The sequence below is a fragment of the Homo sapiens genome, chromosome 14 (assembly GCF_000001405.40).
Source record: "Homo sapiens chromosome 14, GRCh38.p14 Primary Assembly".
Taxonomy (NCBI): Eukaryota; Metazoa; Chordata; class Mammalia; order Primates; family Hominidae; genus Homo; species Homo sapiens.
In genome coordinates this window covers 31,525,087-31,546,349 of record NC_000014.9, presented here as the reverse complement: position 1 = coordinate 31,546,349, position 21,263 = coordinate 31,525,087, and the positions used below count along the sequence as shown (strand labels likewise).

Sequence of the window (21,263 nt, the reverse complement as noted above, 5' to 3'; positions counted from 1 at the left end):
GATGGACACTTTGCACATTTCATTGTATATAAATTTTACATTTTAAAAACTGTAAGTAAATATTGAACTCTAGCTATTGACACAAATGCTGAAGTATTGGGGGAAGTATACTGATGTCTGCAATTAAAATATATCAAAAATAAGAAGATTAATAGATGGACAGAGGGATAAACAGATATGTGATAGAACAAGGAGTATAAACAGTTAATGATAAAATCTAGGTGATATCAACAGAGTTCACCATAAAATTATTTCAGGCTAAAATTATTTCATCTTTGTTAAATGTTTAAATTCTTCATAACATAAAATGTTGGTAAGAAAATAGATATCCCAGGCCTCCCAGAGATGAAATTCCAGTGTTAAATCTCCAAAATAAAATTCTAGACAAAAATCATGAAGTCAAAATCATGTTTTCTCTTGCTGTTTCCGTAGTCTCATCCAACAACTCCCTGAACTGTGCTTCTCTTTTTCATTTTAGACAATTCCATCCCTTCTGGGATTATGGGGGTTATCAAAAAGAAAACACTCCGGGTCTTTGCAACTGCAATTTTTACTTAAAATGCTGTTTTTGTCTCCTGTGCAAGAGGAAAGACAGACCCTGATTTACAGTTTCTGTATCTCAGTAATCTCACCCAAAATGAGAATGAGCACTGACTAGCTATATTATTTCCAAAAATAAAGTTTAAACAAAAGTCAGAAAGAAAAGAAAATGATTAAAAAGAATGTAGATAAAACGTATTCTCCAATTTCAAAAAACCAGTGCTCTCTAGAGAAATGGCTGGCTCTAGGACTGGGGCAGGAAACAGAAGATGAGCTTAGAGCATCTTGTAGTACAAGAAAGGAAGTGCTAAAAACAAACAAAAACAAAACAATTCACAGTGGCGGGAGGAAGTCAAAGGAACACAAGATGCCTCTGCAAGACTTCCCAACAACCAAGGCTAGAACAACGTGAGTAGTAAAATAAAGCTCTATTAGATTATAACCAAAGTATAAAATATTCATGAACCCACACTGATATAAAGTAAATCATTAATAAATAGATAAACAGGAGGAAGATATAAATCTCTCTTGTCAAAGTATTCCGATTAATTTAATGTAAATATTTACCCCTCAAGGAGGTTGGGCATAACTTTTTATATCTGAAGTGCCTGTAGTGACTTCCTTCCAAAGAGTAGAGTACGGAAAAGGTGAGGGGAGAGAATAACTTTACAGTGGAGAAACCTGACAAACACTACCTCAGCCTGGTGATCAAGGTCACCATCATCAGTGATATGTCATGTTGATAGTATGCTGTATAGTAAAGAATTTGACCGGCCTTCATTCATCCTTGGTTCCTGGGAGGAAGATGCCAAGTACTTGGAATTTCCCAAGTAATAAGAGTGACGGTTATTCATGAGCCCCTCAGATCATAGAATTTATGCTAATAAGATAGTTCAGGATGGGAGCTGGCATGCCAGAAAGACCAATCATGTGATTAGAGACTTGGAGATTTTGAGCCAGGTGATATCAACACAGCTCAATCAACTCCATGGAGGGGAGGGGTCCCAGACACTGAGTTCAAAAATGTGGCTAATAATTCAATCAATCATGCCTGTGTAATGAAATTCTAATTCAAAACTCCAGACACCACAGCTCAGAAGAGCTTTCCAGTTGTGAACACATTGATGTGCCAGGAGCGTGACACATTCTGACTCCATGGGGAGAGGACATGAAAGTTTGTGTTTGAGGCTCTCCCTGGCCTCTTGCTATGTGTTTCTTCACTTGGCTGTCCCTGATTTGTGTGCTTTATAATCGTAAGTATAGATCTTCCCTGAGTTCCGTGAGTCATTCTAGGGAATTATCAAAGCTGAAGGGCTTGTGGGAACCCCTGAATGTGTAGTTAGTTGGGCAGAAGTGTGGGTGGCCTGGGAACCCCCAAACGTATGGCTAGCATCTGAAGTGAGAGCAGTCTTGCTGGGGATTGTGACCTTAACTTGGAGTCTGTGCTACTCCAAGTGGTTAGCATCAGAATTGCATTAAGTATTGCAGACCCTTAATACGATATATTTAAAATGACATTTAACTTCTGTGGTCCTCCTCCCAAAAACCCATAACTTCAGTCTAATGATGAGAAAAACAAATCCAAGTTGAGGGACATTCTATAATATACCTAATCTGTACTCTCCAAAATTGTCAAAGTCATCAAAAACAAGGAAAATCTGAAAACTGTCACAGCCAAGACTTGCCTAAGGAGATATGCTGATTAAATGTAATGTGGTATCCTGAAGAGGATCCTGGAGCAGAAAAAGGACATTATGTAAAAATTAGGGAGACCTGAATAAAGTATGGACCTTAATTAATAGTAATGTATCAGTATTGGTTCATTAATTGTGACAAATGTAACATACTAAGATACTTATAATAGGGAAAATTGGGTAAGGGTATATGAGAACATTCTGTACAGTCTTTGTAACTTTTCTGTAAATCTAAAACTACTCTAAAATAAAAAGTTCATTTTAAGGAAAGAATAGAGGAAAAATCAAAGTGGGTATCTAATAGCCTAGGATACAATAATACACTAAATAAATCAGTAGTTGGTGAGTTCCTGCTAATTGACAGAGTTCCTGCTAACTGACAGCAGCAACAATTGACAGAGTTTAGTTGCTGCTACAACAACTCCAGGAATCTTAAGTCAATTCAACAAATTTTAAATGCAATACTTATTGAGCTATTCTTCCAGTTAAACAAACCTAACTGAATACACTTATTTATCTGCTGCCACTAAAATGTAGAAAGGACATATAAAAGGCATAAATCCACAAGGACAAAGAGAATGGGAGAAAAGATAATAACCAAGAAGTGATGTCAACATCTTAGAAGAGAGGAAGCAGGTAGAACAGCAGCACCTGACCCAGGAAGGCAGAGGCACTGCTCTTTGGTGTCTGCAGAGAAGCTTCTTTTACTGGCAGAGACAAAGAGGGCTCAGGAATCTGTGGTGCTAGGCACTGTCGAAGGCAAGTGCTTAGGTAGGTGGCTGAAAATATAGGGATTTGTCAAAAGCCTGTAGAATAAGCTATAGATTCCTAGTTTTACTCAGTCACAACCCATACATTTAGGCCATAACTCTTTATCCTTTATCCTTCACCACCACACCTTGCAGGCTACCAGAACTATATTCTCAGGAGAAAATCAGCAATAGAGGCTCCAGAATCAGGAAGGCCAGACACAGTAAATGGTGAGGGTTGGGCCTAGGACTGGAAACAGCAGTGATGCTCTGGAACTAGTTTGTACCAGCTCACAAGAACTGATTGCTAAATTTTCAGGAATTTGGCAAGCCAGTTGTTAAACAGTGCCATTGAAAAAACTTAAATTATATAAGCTTACAATTAAATAAATTGTATTAAAAACAGACATAATCAATATTCAAAGCTTATAACTGCCTAATTATTTTTACTATATTTTACTATTTCCTCGAGGTTATTTACGCCTATTGTGTTCGTATGGTAGAAATACTATGTGATGATGGCAAGCTACTATGTGTATCTTCCCAACTCCACATTAAATGACATCATGTTGGTAGGCTGAAATTGGCCATGTTGAGAATAATGACACACAGATGTTGGCAAATGCTACAAATCAGGTCTTTTTTTCCCCCTTTCACATAACTAGTTGTTAATATTTAGCAGTACATCACAGAAGGATTAAGTGAAAGTCTAGGTAGTAAACTGTGGGGCCTATAATCACTTTCACCTACGCTACTCCTAGAATGCTTGCATGTATCTGTATATTCCTTTGATGATTTTCTTTGAAGAAATTTAAAATCCTAAAAGATCTATAGAAACTGCTATTTTGGGGTCTCAAAAACAAAAAAGCTTGCTTGCTGCCTCATCACATATAAGGAAGTCCATCCATATACATAAAGCTCCCAATCAACTTTTAAGAACCATTTGCAAATATAAAAAGACAGCCTAGTATCACCCAACAGTTGAGGAATACCTTTACCCTAAAGACAACAGTGTAGAAAAGGAATTCAGAAGAAATAAAGACAATGCAGGTAGCAGAAGAAAACTTTTCAAAACAATAATTACTAGCCTCTAATTCTTAAAAAATGTTACATTTATGAGATTAAAAACCTGATGGCTTAAATCAATAATTTAGTAGAATGGTTGGGGCTAAAATTGAGGAAATTTCCCAGGAAATTAGAACAGTGAGAAAGGGGATGGGGAAAAGGAAGAGGGGAAAAGGTAAAGAAATGAATCCAGGGGCTCCAGCTAATAGAAGTTCCAGAAACAGACAGGGAAAATGAAGAGAAAAACTTATCAAAGGACTATGCTCCAATCAGAAGTCATTTGCCTGCCCCTGACAAAATACCCGCAAAAACTGGCTAAAATAATGAAAGTGTTCCATTATCTCAGATAACATGAAGTCTGGAGGAACTGTGCCTGGTTTGATGTACTGACTCAATCAACTCTGACAGTCTCAGTATTTTGGCATTTTGCCTTAGGCTTGTCCCCACTTGACTGTAAGATGGCTATTACAATTTTAAGGTGACAATATGCTCTCTCACAGTCAAATCCAAAGAAGAGAAAAGTGGTAACACAATAAGCTCTTCCTATGCTTGTGGCTTATATTGGAAAATAAAACCATTCCCTGAAGCCTCTCCTCCCCCGAGAATACTTCCTTTATCGTATTGACCAGAAGAAAGGTATCACATAGCCACCCTTAGTTACAAGGTAAGCTGGAACAGTAAATGCTGCATCTGGCAAACGGAAAGGGGATTACCATGATTTGTTTTAACAATCATGATGTATCTATCCTGTAGGTCTGGACGCATTGTTGCCCGGATAAAAACGGGATTCTGTTAGCAAAGAATATGAAGAGAATGTCTGTTGAGCAGGCAGCTAAGAACGTATTCTATAATATTGCAAGAAAAAAAATGATAAGAACTTAAGGACACAGATATCCAGAGTGAAAGGATGTATCACAGGTCAATCACAGTGAAAAAAATCAAACGACTAACACAAAGATTCATCTTCTAAACACTTCTTAAAATCACATTCAAAAGTTAGGAAAGCTGGGTGAGGTGGCTCACGCCTGTAATCCCAGCATTTTGGGAGGCTGAGGTGGGCAGATCATGAGGTCAGGAGTTCGAGACCAGCCTGATCAACATGGTGAAACCCCGTCTCTACTTAAAAATACAAAAATTAGCCAAGTGTGGTGGTGGGCACCTGTAATCCCAGCTACTTGGGAGGCTGAGGCAGGAGAACTGCTTGAACCTAGGAGGTGGAGGTTGCAGTGAGCCGAGATCACGCCACTGCACTCCAGCCTGGGTGACAAAGCAAGATTCTGTCTTGAAAAAAAAAAAAAGTTAGAAAATTAGAATGGTATTGCACTTCTCATCAAAAACACAAGATAATAAAAGATAATAAAGCAATGCTTTTAAAATCCTGAGGGAAAAGCCATTTTCAACACAGTATTCTGTACCCAACCAAATTATCAAGAACTTTTTCGAGAGTCAAGACCTCAAAGAATTTGCCTCTCACTTCTTAGGAAACTACTGTTATATATTTTTCAGTAAATCAAAGGAGTAAACCAAGAAAAAGTCTTAGGATTCCAGAGATATTGAATGCAAGCCTAGACTATTCCTAAGCATGATTGAAAAAAAAAAAAAAAAAAAAAAAAAAAGACGGTAAGACTCAGGAGGGAAATTTCCAGAAGAAATAGAATGTCTAATCTGTTCAACTGTCTTTCTAGGAAGAAGCGGCAAAAGTTACACATAGGCTGGGCATGGTGGCTCACGCCTGTAATCCCAACACTTCAGGAGGCCAGGGCAGGCTGATCACTGGAGCTCAGGAGTTCAAGACCAGCCTGGCCAACATGGTGAAATCCCGTCTCTACAAAAAAACAAAAATTAGCCAGGCATGGTGGCATGCGCCTATAGTCCCAGCTACTCGGGAGGCTGAGAAGCAGAATCGCTTGAACTGGAGAGGCGGAGGTTGCAGTGAGCTGAGATCACGCCACTGTCCTCCAGCCTGGGTGACAGAGGAGATCTATCTCAAAAAAAAAAAAAAAAAAAAAAAAAAAAAGCTCCACATAAACTAAGCAAATGAGCAAATAAGATAATAACCGATTTGTGAAAAAACAAAAGGCTGTATCAGAAAGGAAATTTGCTGGGGGAACACTATGATATTTATAATGTCATATTATTATAAATAATATTGATTTTGGCCAGGTGTGGTGGCTCACGCCTGTAATCCCAGCACTTTGAGAGGCCGGGGTGGGTGGATCACTGAAGCTCAGGAGTTCAAGACCAGCCTGGCCAACATGGTGAAATCCCATCTCTACAAAAAAAACAAAAATTAGCCAGGTGCGGTGATGCACACTTGTAGTCCCACCTACTTGGGAGGCTGAGGCAGGAGAATCTCTTGAACCCAGGAGGCAGAGGCTGCAGTGAGCTGAGATCACCCCACTGCACTCCAGCCTGGGTGACAGAGATTCTGTCTCAAAAAAAAAATAACAATAATAATATTGGTGTAACAAAAATTTTAATATAACTAAATTGGGAGGATGCAGAGAGAATACATCTGTCAGCCAAATCCCAACAGAAAGCAGAGGGTGCATTCAGATTAGGATTAACCAGAGGCGTTTCTTTATAAAAATGTCATCTCCAAAAATGTGGGCAGCATGTAAGGAAATCACAGGGATATTTAATAACCCAGGGTTGGGTCCCCTAGGTCCAAAGAAAGAGGGAGGGAGCTGACCAAAATCCAAAAGAAGTCTGTGAAAAGGAGGCCGTATTGAATGGAACAATAACCTTCGTTTGAGGGACAGTGGAAGAGAGTTGGGGTAATAAACACCCTCACCTCCGTCACCTGCCTCACCTCCCTCCCTTGAACATGCCACTGTCCAAACCCAGCAAGGAGCCAGAGGCACAGAAGCTGTTGATGTGGCCCATATAGGACAGAGGAACCGGAGGGAAAAACAGAAGCTGTGTGGCACAGAGGTGAAGTGTGATAGTATAAAAGAGCTAAATCCTCATCTGACCACAATGTCAATTTTTTAAATGGATAAATTTTAAAATAGTCATCTATGAATATTATTAGCTACACAAAAGCAAATACCAACAGAAACAGCTGGAAATGGGCATTCCTGAGCAAAGTAACTGAATGGGAGAAGTACAGAGGTAGTAAAGTTCAAGAAATACTCAAAGAACAAGCAGCCCAATTTGGTTGTACTATAAGGCATCTGTAAAGGAATCACACGAAAGAAAATTGAAGTGACAGATTGGGGTCATATTGTGGTAGCTCCAAATGCCTGGCTGAAGATCCTATATTTAAACAGTATTGAGCTACAACTAAGGGAGTGACACAATGAGAGATAATTTCCAAGTAGGATTGATCTGGCAATGATGCACAGGATTAAAGTAACAGAAACCTAGATTATATGAGACTTGGTAGATTCTATTTCATAGTCTAACGTAATGGTGTCAATAAGAAGGGAAAGGACAACATTAACCTAAAAGATATTTGAAAACAAGACTGAAAGGACTCCATTCACCCAACAAATATCCATCGAATACCCACTGCATATTAGGCACTATTGTTGGTAGTGGGAATACAGCAATGAACAAAACATACACAAACTCTTGTCTCATGGACCTTATATTGTGGTGGAGGGAAACAAACAATGTATAAAACAAGTAAGTGCTATGCAAGCTAGAAGTCCTCTGAAGAAATCCAAAGCAGGTACAATACAGGATTGGAAGTTTGAGGTTAGTAATTTGCACTTAGGAATGAGTTTGAGGCCAGCTGAGGTGGCTCACACCTGTAATCCCAACACTTTGGGAGGCCGAGGTGGGAGGATCACTTGAGCTCAGGAGGATCGCTGGTCTCAGTTTGAGACCAACCTGGGCAACACAGGGAAACCCCATCTCTACAAAAAATAAAAATATGATCTCAGCTACTCAGGAAGCTGAGATGGAAGGATCACTAGAACCTGGGAGGTGGAGACTGCAGTGAAGCATGATTGCACCACTGCACTCCAGCCTGGGTGACCGAGTGAGACCCTGACACCAAAAAAAAAAATGAGTTTGAGATGGGCCTGGGATACAAAGGTGGAGATGCCCAGATGACTGGAACTCAAGAGAAGTTAGAGCTAGAGATATGAAATAGGAATTTCAGAGGTAGAAAAGGAAAGCCAGACACGTTGTCTCGGGTCAGCTTGCTGTTTCACAGTGTTGTCTCCTTGATGTAGCCACTATATTCTTCCAGTTTTGCAGGTCAAATGAAAAATTCCATTTTGTCAGTGCATCCAGAGATGACTGGCCTTGGGACAACTAATGCATGCTACAGCTACAGACTAACGTAAAGTCAAACTTTAAAGTGAGAAACATAATTGTCAACTCAACTCTAGAGCTCACATTGCTTAGTTCGTACCTGTAGAAAAGTCCATGTTGGTTGCTACAACATAATCTGACTCCTGCTTGCTGATCACAAAATCAGAGATAGAATTAGGTGAACAATCTCCATTGGCTAGCTTAGCCTCACGCAGCTCATTAGACCCATAGAGAGACATTTGCCAAGGTGCAGTAAAGCATCTGCTATGATCTGTCCACCAACGTTCTAAACAGAAGAGACATGATGTCCGAGTCTTCCCCTTTGACTCCCTTTCTTCTAGGCTCCCTACAGACTATTTCCCTGCTTTCCTCTTTACTTAGAATATTGTGTGGTTATTTTGGAACTGGGATACAGTTACACAGTGTTGTTATCATTTATGGAAACTTGAGGTTTAATGGAAATTGGGATGGGAATAGCTTTATCTTTAAAGTATCTAGATCCATCCGGAAACTTTTCCAGGGCTCCTAGGTAAATACTATATGTCACAAAATACCGAGAGAACTTAAGAGAACCCTCAGGCCATACCCCTTCATCGGCAATCAGGCCTTTCCCATCTCCCTCTACTAATTTTGGCATGTGACTGAGAATGGTGTAAGAAAGGCTGAACTGAGAAACAACAGCAAATGTGTTGCTATTGAAGATGCACAGCTCCTTATTTAGTGCCTACTATGTACCAGGCACTTTGCCAAATGCTAGGGAGACAATACAGAGTTTTTCATGGGGTTTGCAATTTACTGAGGCAGGAAATATGAACCTTTGTCAAAGTTAACTACTATAAATTTGTCTTGATGTGTCACGTTACATATCTGCCCCCTATAATGTCAGGACTCACTATGAAGACAATAAAGTTTTCTAAGATTGTGCAAGCAGGTGTGTGTCTTTCTCTCTTCTATTACCCCATTAGGGCCATAGATACTGAGAGGGAAAGGCTGTCCTGGTCATGAAAACAGCTACTGACAATAGGAATCTATGCAGAAAGGAAACAGGTGAAATCATAAGTATATATAGGCAAGAAAAGAGCCGACAACAGAACCATGAAAAATGCCTACACCTAGACAACAAAAAAAAAACAGAGCTAACAAAGGCAATAGCAATGGTTCAAGGAGAGTAGGAAAAACACTCTAATACTATGCCACAGAAAGCAAGAAGGAAGGGGTAAAGGCATCAGCAGAAGACACTGATGAGTCACTGGATTTGGTGATTACAAAGTCATTGGTCATCTCCAAGAGGGTAATTTCAGTGAGGTGGTGGAGTTTGAAGTCAAAGGACAAGGTGTTCATGAGTGAGTATGAGGTCAAGAAGTGGCTACAATGAGTGTCTTTGAGAAGGGCAAGAAGCTAGAACCACCTCTGTTTCTCCTCAAATAACCTTTACCAAGAAGGGAAAAATGTTCTTTTCTATCTAGAAAAGCCATCTCTTCCATACTACAGTGTGACCACCTCTTCCAGTTTTCCCAGGATTTTCCCAGTTTTATAGCACTGCAAGTCCCTCGTGTGGGGAAACCTCTCGATCCTGGGGAAACTGGGCCTGTTGGCACCTGATAGTCATATGGGTGAGACACTTTATGTCAGTGAGGCTTTAGATACCTGTTGGTGATTATTGTTTTACACAGTTTTATTGAGGTATAATTTACATACCATAAAATTCACCATTTCTAGTGATCATTTAAATAACAGTCTCAACCTAGCTGTATGCTAAAATTACTGGGGAGCTTTTAAAGAATATCAGTGACAAACTCTCACCCCCAGGGGTGCCTAAGGCCCGCGTGTTGTTATTTTTTAAAAGCAACCCAGTGACGGCACATGCCTGTAGTCCCAGCTACTGAGGAAGCTGAGGCAGGAGGATCACTTGAGCCCAGGAATTTGAGGTTGCAGTGAGCTATGATTGTACCACTGCACTCCAGCCTGGGTGATAGAGCAAGAACCTGTCTCTAAAAAACAATCATGTAAATAAAAAACAAAACAATGTAAATAAATAAATAAAAACTAAAACAATGTAAATAAATAAATAAAAGCAACCCACTTGACTCTAATGTATAGCCAGGATTGAGAACCACTGGTTATAAAGTAAAAAACAATACCCAGTATCAATGCTTTTCTAAGTTTTCAAGAAGAAAAAGAAGTAAAGTAAGCGCTCAAAGAAATATGATAATGTAGGCTTCTCAAAATGGGAAAATTTTTGAAAACGTAGGAAAAATATTATTTTAAATAGTTTTTGTTTTGAATTCCAGGGCTAAATTCAATAATTTTGATGGGTTTTTTTCTATTAAAATGCAGTGTGGTAATTAGGAAAATCATAATGTATGTCCACACTTTGCATGAAATCCTGCTTCTGATTACATAACAGTCCTACAAAATAAGAAAGTAATGAATAAATGTTTCATTTGAACGTATAAAAGGGAATGCCTCAAGATTCACATCTTCAGTCAGCTTCCCAGAAGCCTTTACATGGCAAAATGGCATTGATTTTTATGTAAAATGTGATTGTCTTTTCTATAAATGTATTATTCTCTAACTCCAAATCAATTAAAGATACGCTGCTCTAGCCACAGGAGATTCCCTTAAAAAATCAATGCTAATTCCAAAAAATGTTTTAGCATTTTAAAAACGTATTCACTAAGAAACAGAATTGATTCATACTGAGCAGGACAGGCATCCAGAAAGATTATGTTACTGGAAATTATTATTATACATATCCATTACCACTTATGAGTGAAAAAAAACCCGATGTAAAAGTTATTTGGTGATTAATAACACAGTGATTATGAGTTTCAGCTTACAATTTGTGTGAGCAAAAAATGTAACTTTATTTTCCTACAACTTAAATTCATTTTTTTTTATTGTTTGTTTTTTGAGACAGGTTCCTGCTCTGTCACACAGGCTGGAGTGCAGTGGTGTGAATACAGCTCACTGCAGCCTGGACCTCCTGGGCTCAAGCGATCCTCCCACCTTAGCCTCCCAGGTAGCTGAGACCACAGGTACACACCACCATGCCTGGATTTTTTTTTAAATTTTTTGTACAGGCAGGGTCTCTCTGTGTTGCCCAGGCTGGTCTTAAACTCCTGGGCTCAAGCAATCTTCCCACCTTGGCCTCCCAAAGTGCTGGGATTACAGGTGTGAACCACTGCACCCAGCCCAGTTTCTATTTTGAACTCTGATTTTACCTGTATGGAGCACGGCACAATCTGGCTCTGTTTTTGAATGCCTTAGACAGTCACAGGTTTTTACCTGTCCTTGGGGCTTTGATCAAAAGGTAGGGCACAGAACCTTCTATGAGATACCCATCAACATCTATTTTTCCATTGCTTGTTGCTGTCTCTCTTCTCCTTAGACACTCCTGATAAAGGGCATCTATTTAAAAAAAAAAAACCACAGCTAACATCATACTTAATAGTAAAAGACTGAAAACTATTTCCCTAAGATCAGGAGCAAGACAAAAATGTCCACTCTCAGGCTGGGCGCGGTGGCTCATGCTTGTAATCCCAGCACTTTGGGAGGCCAAGGCAGGCAGATCACTTGAGCCCAGGAGTTCAAGACCAGACTGGGCAACACGGCAAAACCCTGTTTCTACAAAAATACAAAAAATTAGTCTGGCATGGTGGTGCACACCTGTGGTCCCAGCTACTCAGGAGGCTGAGGTGGGAGGATTGCTTGAGCCCTGGTGGTCAAGGCTGTGGTGAGCCGAGATCATGCCACTGCACTACAGCCTAGGTGACGGAGCTAGACCCTCATCTAAAAAAAAAAAAAAAAAATCCACTCTTGCCACTTCCATTTAACATTGTACTGGAGGTTCTAGCCAGGTCAAGTAGGCAAGAAAATGAAATAAAAATAATCTAGATTGGAAAGGAAAAAGTAAAATTACCTCTATTTCCAGATAATATTATCTCATATGTAGAAAAACAGAATGAATCTACTAAAACTATTAGAAATAATAAACCAGTTCAGCATGGTTGCAGCATATAAGATCTATATACACAAATCAACTGTATTTCTGTACACTAGCAATAAACAATTCAAAAATGAAATTAAGGAAACAATTCCACCGGCCAGGTGCAGTGGCTCACACCTGTAATCCCAGCACTTTGGGAGGACAAAGTGGGCAGATCATCTGAGGTCAGGAGTTCGAGACCAGTCTGGCCATCATGGTGAAACCCCATCTCTACTAAAAATACAAAAATTAGCCGGGCATGCTGATGCACGCCTGTAATCCCAGCTACTCAGGAGGCTGACTCAGGAGAATCGCTTGAACCTGTAAGGCAGAGGTTGCAGTGAGCTGAGATTGTACCATAGCAGTCCAGCCTGGGTGACAGAGCAAGAGTCTGTCTCAAAAAAAAAAAAAAAAAAAAAAAAGAGAAAGAAAAGAAAAGAAAAAAATAAGCCAATCCTAAAATTCATATGAAAATACAAGGGACCCAGAATAGACAAAACAATCTCGAAGAAAAGAACAAAGTTGGAGGACTCACACTTTCTGTTTTCAAATTTTCCTTCACAGCTACGGTAATCAAGACAGTGTAGTACTGGCATGAGGATACAAATGCAGATCACTAAAACAGAATTGAGTGCCCAAGAATCAGCCTTCATTTTTATGGCCAGTTAATTTCAATAAAAGTGCCAATTCAATGGGGGAAAGAGTACTCTTTCCAACAAATGGTGCTGGGACAGCAGGATTATCCCTATACAAAAAGTGTAGCTGGACTCCGAACTTACATCACATATAAAAGTTAATTTTAAATGGATAAAACAGCTAAAACTATAAAACTCTTTGAAGAATCATTCATAGGAATGAATCATGACCTTGGGTTAGGCAAAGGCTTTTTAGACAAGACACTAAGAGAACTAGTAACAAAAGAAAAAAGACATAAACTGGACTTTATAAAAATTTTAATTTGTGCTTCAAAGGACACCAACAAGAAAATAAAGACAACCCACAGGATGGGGAGAAATTCTGCAAATCATGCACCCAATGAGGGACTTATATCTAGAATATATAAAGAACTCTTACAAGTCAGTAATAAAAAGACAGATAACCCAATTTAAAAAATAGACAAAAGGAGCAAAAAGAACTCTCATTCATTACTGGTGAGAATACAAAATAGTATTGCCACTCTGGAAGACAGTTTGGCAGTTTCTTACAAAACTAAACACACTCTTACCATATAATCCAGAAACTGCATTCATTTACCCAAATGAATTGAAAATATATTTATACACAAAACCCCGCCCACAAATGTTTACAGCCACTTATTCATATTTGCCAAAACTCAAAAGCAACCACAATGCCATCCAATAGATGAAAGGATAAATAAACTGTGGTACATCCATACGATAAAGTATTATTCAACAATAAAGAGAAATGAACTATCAAGTCATAAAAAGACATTGAGGAACCATCAATCCATATTTAAGTGAAAGAAGCCAATTAGAAAAGACTATATACCATACAATTCCAACTTCATGACATTCTGAAATTGGCAAAACTATGGAGACAGTAAAAAGATTAATGGCTGCCAGGGTTTTGGGGGAAAGGGGAAGTGGGAAGGATGGATACGTGGAACACAGGGGATATTTGGGGCAGTGAAACGACTCTGTATGATACTGTAGTGGTGACTGCATGTCATTATAACTTTGCCAAAACCCTCAGAATGTACAATGTAGAGTGAACCCTAATGTAAACTATGGATTTTAGGTAATAATAATAATGTGCCAACATTGGCTCATCAATTATAACAAATGTATCAGACTAATTCAAGATGTTAATAATAGAGGAAACTGGCTGGGCACGGTGGCTCATGCCTGTAATCCCAACACTTTGGGAGGCCAAGGTGGGCGGATCACCTGAGGTCGAGAGTTCGAGACCAGCTTGACCAACATGGAGAAACCCCATCTCTACTAAAAACACAAAATTAGTCAGGCGTAGTGGAACATGCCTGTAATCCCAGCTACTAGGGGGGCTGAGGCAGGAGAATCGCTTGAACCTGGGAGGCGGAGGTTGTGGTAAGCCAAGATCGCGCCATTGCACTCCAGCCTGGGCAACAAGAGCAAAATTCCGTCTCAAAAAATAATAATAGAGGAAACTGTGTGTGGACTGGGGGAGTGGTAAGGGAATATAGGGGAATTCTGTACTTTCTGCTCATGTTTTCGATAAACCTAAATAAACTGCTCTAAAAATAAAGTTTATTAATTAAAAAAATATGAATAGAAAGTTTTCCAAAGAAGATACACAAATGGCCAATAAGCACATTAAACATGCTCAACATCATTAGCCATCAGAGAAATGCAAATCAAAACTATGTTGAGATACCACTAAGGTGGCTATAATCCAAAAGAAAGATGATGAGTATTGGAGGGAACGTAGAGAAATGGTTCCCTTATATTCTGCTGATGGAAATACAAAATGGTGCAGCCACTTTAAAGAATATCTGACAGTTTCTCAAAAGGTTAAACATAGAGTTAGTATGTGACCCAGCAACTTCACTCCTGGTATACACTCAAGAGAAATGAAAACATATAGCCACACAAAAAATGTGTACATAAATATATACAAGTGGCTGGGCACGGTGGTTTACGCCTGTAATCCCAGCACTTTGGGAGGCCGAGGAGGGCGGATCACGAGGTCAAGAGATGGAGACCATCCTGGCCAACATGGTGAAACCCCGTCTCTAGTAAAAAGTACAAAAATTAGCTGGGAGTGGTAGCATGCACCGGTAGTCCAAGCTACTCAGGAGGCTGAGGCAGGAGAATTCACTTGAACCCAGGAGGCGGAGGTTGCAGTCAGCCAAGATTGCGCCACTGCACTCCAGCCTGGTGACAGAGAGAGACTCTGTCTCAAAAAAAAAAAAAAAAAAAAAAGGTACAAGTACATCAGTGGCAGCATTATTCATAATAGCCAAAAAATGGAAACAACTCAAATGTCCATCAGCTGTTTAAATGGATAAATAAAATATGGCATATCCATACAATATAATATTATTCAGCAAGAGAAGACATGCTATACTGATACATACTGCAACATGGATGAATCTTTCATATGCCAAGTGAAAGAAGCCAGTCATAAAAGACCATACAGGATTCCATTTAAATGAAATGTCCAGAATAAGTAAATCTATAGAGACAGAAAGTAAATTAGTGGCTGCCTAAGACTAGAGGGAGTGGGTATAAATGCGGAAGGACTGCTAACGGTTACAAAGTTTCTTTGGGGGGTGATGAAAATATTCTAACCGCGATTGTGGTGAGGAATGCTTAATTCTGTGAATATACTAAAAACCATTGAGCTGTACAGTTTAAATTGACGAATTGCATAGTATGTGAATTAGATTTTGACAAAACTGTTATAAAAAAATAAGATTGAAGATGTTTCTGGAAACAAGGATCAAAAATCACAGATATAAAGTAAGCAACAGTACATAGTTGTAACTCTAAAAATTGTCAACATATTTGAATGCACTAGATGGAAAGTGTAGAAATCTAGAATGTAATAATGAGATAACCACAAACTTCATAGGAGACATAGAGAAAGTCATTTCACACCTAAGCTTAAATTTCTGTCGTAGATTAAATCTCACTGATTCTAAAGAGAAAATTTGTTTACATTTTGATAGCTAGCTCCCCCTCATACTTACAAGATGCTGTCACAATTCCAAACGTTTCATCCTGACGTGGCAATGTGCAGCAGAAAATGAGGTTGCCTCCTCCTGCGTGTCTCTTTTTAAGAGTAAGAAAATCTTTTCCAGAAGCCCTCATCACAGATTTATCCTCATTTTTCTTTGGCCAGAATTGTGTCTTATGCTCCTTCCTAAATCAGACTCGCGTGCACTCATGCACATGCACGTGTGTGTGTGTGTGTTTGGAGTTGTGTCTGTGTCCACAATTGACTTAGACAAATCAGGATTTATCTGTAACAGGAAGGTGAGGGGTGGATATAAAATCACGACTGTTGGCAAGGAAAAAGAGAGAAGGAGTATTGTATGGGCACCAGAAGACTCTGCTATACCAAAGACAAAAGAGAAATATGAAATAATATTTTCACTACACTTTCTTCGGTTCAGAACAAGGTATGTGCCCCACCTTCTATGCCAAGTCAAAAATAAAGCAAGAGTTTCATGGCTTCCTGAAGCTATTTTATTTTCCCAGGGATTTTTCCCCCTCAAAAAGTATTCATTATTTGCTGGAAAATGTGTGGCACAGTGTTGGACTCATCAGCATTAGCACACATTCTACAAAGTTACAGGAAACTTACCTCCAGGTTTTGCTAGCACATTATTATCATAAGCCACTGTTCCCTGACAGTGGTCCTTCATTATACGATTTTGGTTGCATGCTTAGCTATAGAATGCCAGCTAGCACTGAGCCACCAACTTCTTACTACTCAGAATCCGTGTTATTCATTCACTTAACACATGTTTATTAAGCACAGCTAAGCTATGTGCTATACTAATGATGGTGAAAATCTACTGAATGCTTGCTACATACCAAGTACTATTTTAAGCTTTACATATACTAGTTCATTTAGTCCTCATAGAAGTTTTTATGAAGTATGTAGACATCATTACTATTTCTACTTCACAGGTGAGTGAGTTCTCAAGTGGTTAAGTATCTTGCCCAAGGACACACAAACAAGTAAAGTATGAATCCCAAAAGTCTGGATATAGACCAGGGTATCAACCTAAGAAGGCTGGCTCCAAAGACCATGCTCTTAACCACTACACCATCGTTGCATCACAGTGCAAAGATAAACATGGCATGTTTTCTTTTCTCTAAGAATTCACAGTCTAACCAAGGAGGCAAACATATACACAGTACAGTACAGAGTGGTTAATGCTATAATACCTTCCCAACAGAATTTCTCTCAGATTGATAAAGAAATCCTTATTGTTTTCATGAGAACCATTAAAATTTACCATAATCTATAGTAATGCTTTGAATTTATGTTATACTATCTCTATCTAAGGTTCTCAAGTTAGAACTGTCACGGATACATCTCTTAAGATTAATAAAATAGCACTGGAGGCCACGCACAGTGGCTCATGCCTGTAATCCCAGCATTTCAGGAGGCTGAGGGGACAGGGTCCCTTTAGTTCAGGAATTCAAGGCTGCAGTGAGTACAGTGGCCCCACTGCACTCCAGCCTGGGCAACAGAAATAAATAATAAATAAATAAATAATAAATAAATAAATAATACTGCATGAAAAACTGGGTTAAGCCTCAGGGGTGAGCAGAAAGAATAATTATGTTTAATAAAGAATCTGTCTGAGGAATTCAAGCCACTAACAGCCTGTGAACAGAGCTACAATTTATTGACCATTTACTATGTACAAAGCCTATATGTTAATGTAATCCTCATAACCACCCTATGAAATAGGAACTAGAATTACCCCTATTTTACAGACAAGGAAAGAAACTTAGTGAGAATAAGCCATTTGCCTGAGGATAAACGACAGAGACCAGGACCTGTCAGAACCATGGCTCAAACCGGAACAATGTAATTCCAAAATCAGTGCCAGTAAACTACTACACTGTATACCCATGGAGGACATTTTACCTTAAAAGACTATAAATGAGTATAGTTCATGTCAGACCATCTGGCCCAGTTACACAGTGGCTTTCCAAATAAGGTATTTGAAAATTTATATTGATTTTTGTAAAATGACTTCAAGAGAATGCATTGATTATTAAATTCCATTAAAGTCTCAAACTTTCATCTCCAGTTTCTGCTGCAAAGTTTACTGTTCTGAACTATTTATTTCCCAGATGCCTCCCATCAAAGCTGATTGGTATTAAACTGTTTATTATAGTCTCCTTCCTTTTATAAGCTCAATTGTGTCCCCCCGGCAAATTCGTATGTTGAAGCCCTAACCCCCAGAAACTCAGGATGTGACTGCAATTGGAGATAGAGCCTTTGAAGAAGTGATTAAGTTAAAATGAGGCCACTAGGGTGGGCCCTTTAGGGTGGGCCCTAATTCAATCTTACTGCTTCTTATAAGAAGAGGAAATCTGGACATACAAGGAGATAACGGGGAGGCATATGCACGGAGGAAAGGCCACAGGAGGACACAGTGAGAAGGTGGCCACCTGCAAGCCAGGAAGAGAGCCCTTAGAAGAAACCAATCCAGCTAGCACCTTGGTCTTGGACTTCCAGCCTCCAGAACTGTGAGGAAATAAATTTCTGTGTGGTCATTTAAGCCACCCAGTCTGTGGTATTTTGTTACAGCAGCCCTAGCAAACCAATACACTTCTTTAGCTATGAGCCTCTCCAAAGCAGATACCATGTCATGTTCAACTTTGTGTCTTTCACAATTCCTTGAACATTAAAGGCACTCTTCAAATGTTTATCTTATTTAGAGGTGACAGTGTACTGGCAGCCCTCGCTCGCTCTAGGCGCCTCCTCGGCGTCAGCGCCCACTCTGGTCACGCTTCAGGAGCCCTTCAGCCCGCCACTGCACTGTGGGAGCCCCTTTCTGTGCTGGCCAAAGCCTGAGCCGGCTCCCTCAGCTTGCGTGGAGGTTTGGTGGGAGAGGCGCAGGCGGGAACCGGGGCTGCACGCGGTGCTTGCGGGCCAGCGCGAGCTCCGGGTGGGCGTGGGCTCGGCGGCCCCGCACTCGGAGCAGCCGGCCGGCGCCGCCAGCCTCCGGCAGTAAGGGCTCAGTAACTGGGCCAGCAGCTTGGAGGGTGCGCCGGGTCCCCCAGCAGTGCCGGCCCGCCCGTGGTGCACTCGAATTCTCGCTGGACCTTTGCTGCCTCCCTGTGGGGCAGGGCTTGGGACCTGCAGCCTGCCATGCCTGAGCCTTCCCCCCGGCTCCCCGCCATGGGCTCCTGTGCGGCCCAAGCCTCCCCAATGGGCGCCACCATCTGCACTGCAGCGCCCCGTCCCATCAAACCCCCAAGGGCTGAGGAGTGCGGGTGCATGCCGATACTGGCCGGCAGCTCCGCCTGTGGCCCCAGGGCAGGATCCACTAGGTGAAGCCAGCTGGGCTCCTGAGTGTAGTGGGGACTTGGAGAACCTTTATGTCTAGCTAAGGGATTGTAAATACACCAATCAGCACTCTGTGTCTAGCTCAAGGTTTGTGAATGCACCAATCAGCACTCTGTATCTGGCTAATCTGGTGGGGACTTGGCGAACATTTCTGTTTACCTCAGGGATTGTAAACGCACCAATCAGTACTCTGTGTCTAGCCCAAGGTTTGTAAATGCACCAATCAGCACCCTGTGTCTAGCTCAGGGTTTGTGAATGCACCAATCAGTGCTCTGTGTCTAGCTAATCTAGTGGGGACTTGGAGAACTTTTGTGTCTAGCTCAGGGATTGTAAATGCACCAATCAGCACCCTGTCAAAACAGACCAATCAGCTCTCTGTAAAACAGACAATCAGCTCTCTGTAAAATGGACCATTCAGCAGGATGTGGGTGGGGCCAGATAAGGGAATGAAAGCAGGCTGCTGGAGCCAGCAATGGGAATGTATTCGGGTCCTCTTTCACAGTGTGGGAGCTTTGTTCTTTCCCTCTTTGCAATAAATCTTGCTGCTCTTCACTCTTTGGGTCCTCCCCGCCTTTATGAGTTGTAACACTCATGGTGAAGGTCTGCAGCTTCACTCCTGAGGCCAGCGAGACCACGAACCCCCAGGAGGAATGAACAACTTCAGATGTGCCACCGCCTTAAGAGTTGTAACACTCAGGGAGAAGGTCTGCAGCTTCACTCCGGAAGCCAGTGAGACCGCGAACCCACCAGAAGGAAGAAACTCTGAACATGTCCGAACATCAGAAGGAACAAACTCCGGACACGCCGCTTTTAAGAACTGTAACACTCACCGCGAGGGTCCGTGGCTTCATTCTTGAAGTCAGTGAGACCAAGAATCCACCAATTCTGGAGACATTATTATTATGGTTTCAAGAATTGCTTCAAGTAACTTCATTTAGAGATTGATGATGAGGACCTACAAGACCAAACAATAACAATATATTCAATTCAAAACAATCTATGTAATATTTATGGGGTGGTAGATATACAAAGAGGAATAAGACTATGCCTACCTTCAAAGAGCTTATTACTGGTAAACTAGAGAGACATGTAAATTAATCATTGCAATATTGCTTGATTAATTACAGTGGTGGAGTCGGGAAGAGGGCTGATATAGCTTATTTTTGTGTGCCCATCCAAATTTCATATTGAAATGTAATCTCCAGTGTTGAAAGTGGGGCCTGGTGGGGGGTGATTGGATCATAGGAGCAGATTTCTCATGAATGGTTTAGCACCATCCTCCTTGATACTGTCCTCATGATAGTGAGTTCTCATGAGATGTGGTTGTTTAAATGTGTGTAGCATCTCCCACCTTGTTCCCTTGTTCCTGCTTTCACCATGTGACATACCTGCTCCACTTTGCCTTCTACTGTGATTAGAAGCTTCCTGAGGCCTCCCCAGAAGCAGATGCCACTATGCTTCCTCTACAGCCTGCAGAACCATGAGCCAATTAAATGTCTTTTCTTATAAATTACCCAGTCTCTGGCATTTCTTTATAGCAATGCGAGGACTGACTAATACAGGGACATAAGAAAATTCACAAGGGAAATCACACTTTAGCAGGTATTTAAAAGCTGCTTTGCTCATAGAACTATCTTCACTCATTTGGTTTTTGTTTGCTTGCTTTTTGAGACAGTGTCTCATTCTGGCGCCCAGGCTGGAGTGCAGTGGCATGATTTCCGCTCACTGCAACCCCAGTCTCCCGGGTTCAAGCGATTCTCCTGCCTCAGCCTACTGAGTAGCTGGGATTACAGGAGTCTGCCACCATGCCCAGCTAATTTTTGTATTTTTAGTAGAGACGGGGTTTCACCATGTTGACCAGGGTGGTCTCGAACTCCCAACCTCCAGTGATCCACCCACCTCTGCCTCCCAAAGTGCTGG

General features: G+C 40.7%; 1 long non-coding RNA gene across 2 annotated transcripts in view, besides 1 other annotated feature; it reads right to left on the bottom strand.

Moving 5' to 3' along the window:
* The window catches only part of LOC105370438 (uncharacterized), a 68,133-nt gene that overhangs the window by 11,747 nt on the left and 35,123 nt on the right, over positions 1 to 21,263 (bottom strand). For both annotated transcript variants that reach the window (XR_943722.3, XR_943723.3), the window contains exon 2: positions 20,174 to 20,298. This is a non-coding gene — a long non-coding RNA (uncharacterized LOC105370438). The remainder of the gene's footprint in view (positions 1 to 20,173; positions 20,299 to 21,263) is intronic.
* Positions 1,829 to 1,978: an enhancer, noted in NCBI's record as "active region_8236". NCBI's record gives its function as "activates an Ori minimal core promoter by ATAC-STARR-seq in GM12878 lymphoblastoid cells {active_cell/tissue: GM12878}" and the evidence as "EXISTENCE:reporter gene assay evidence [ECO:0000049][PMID:35858748]".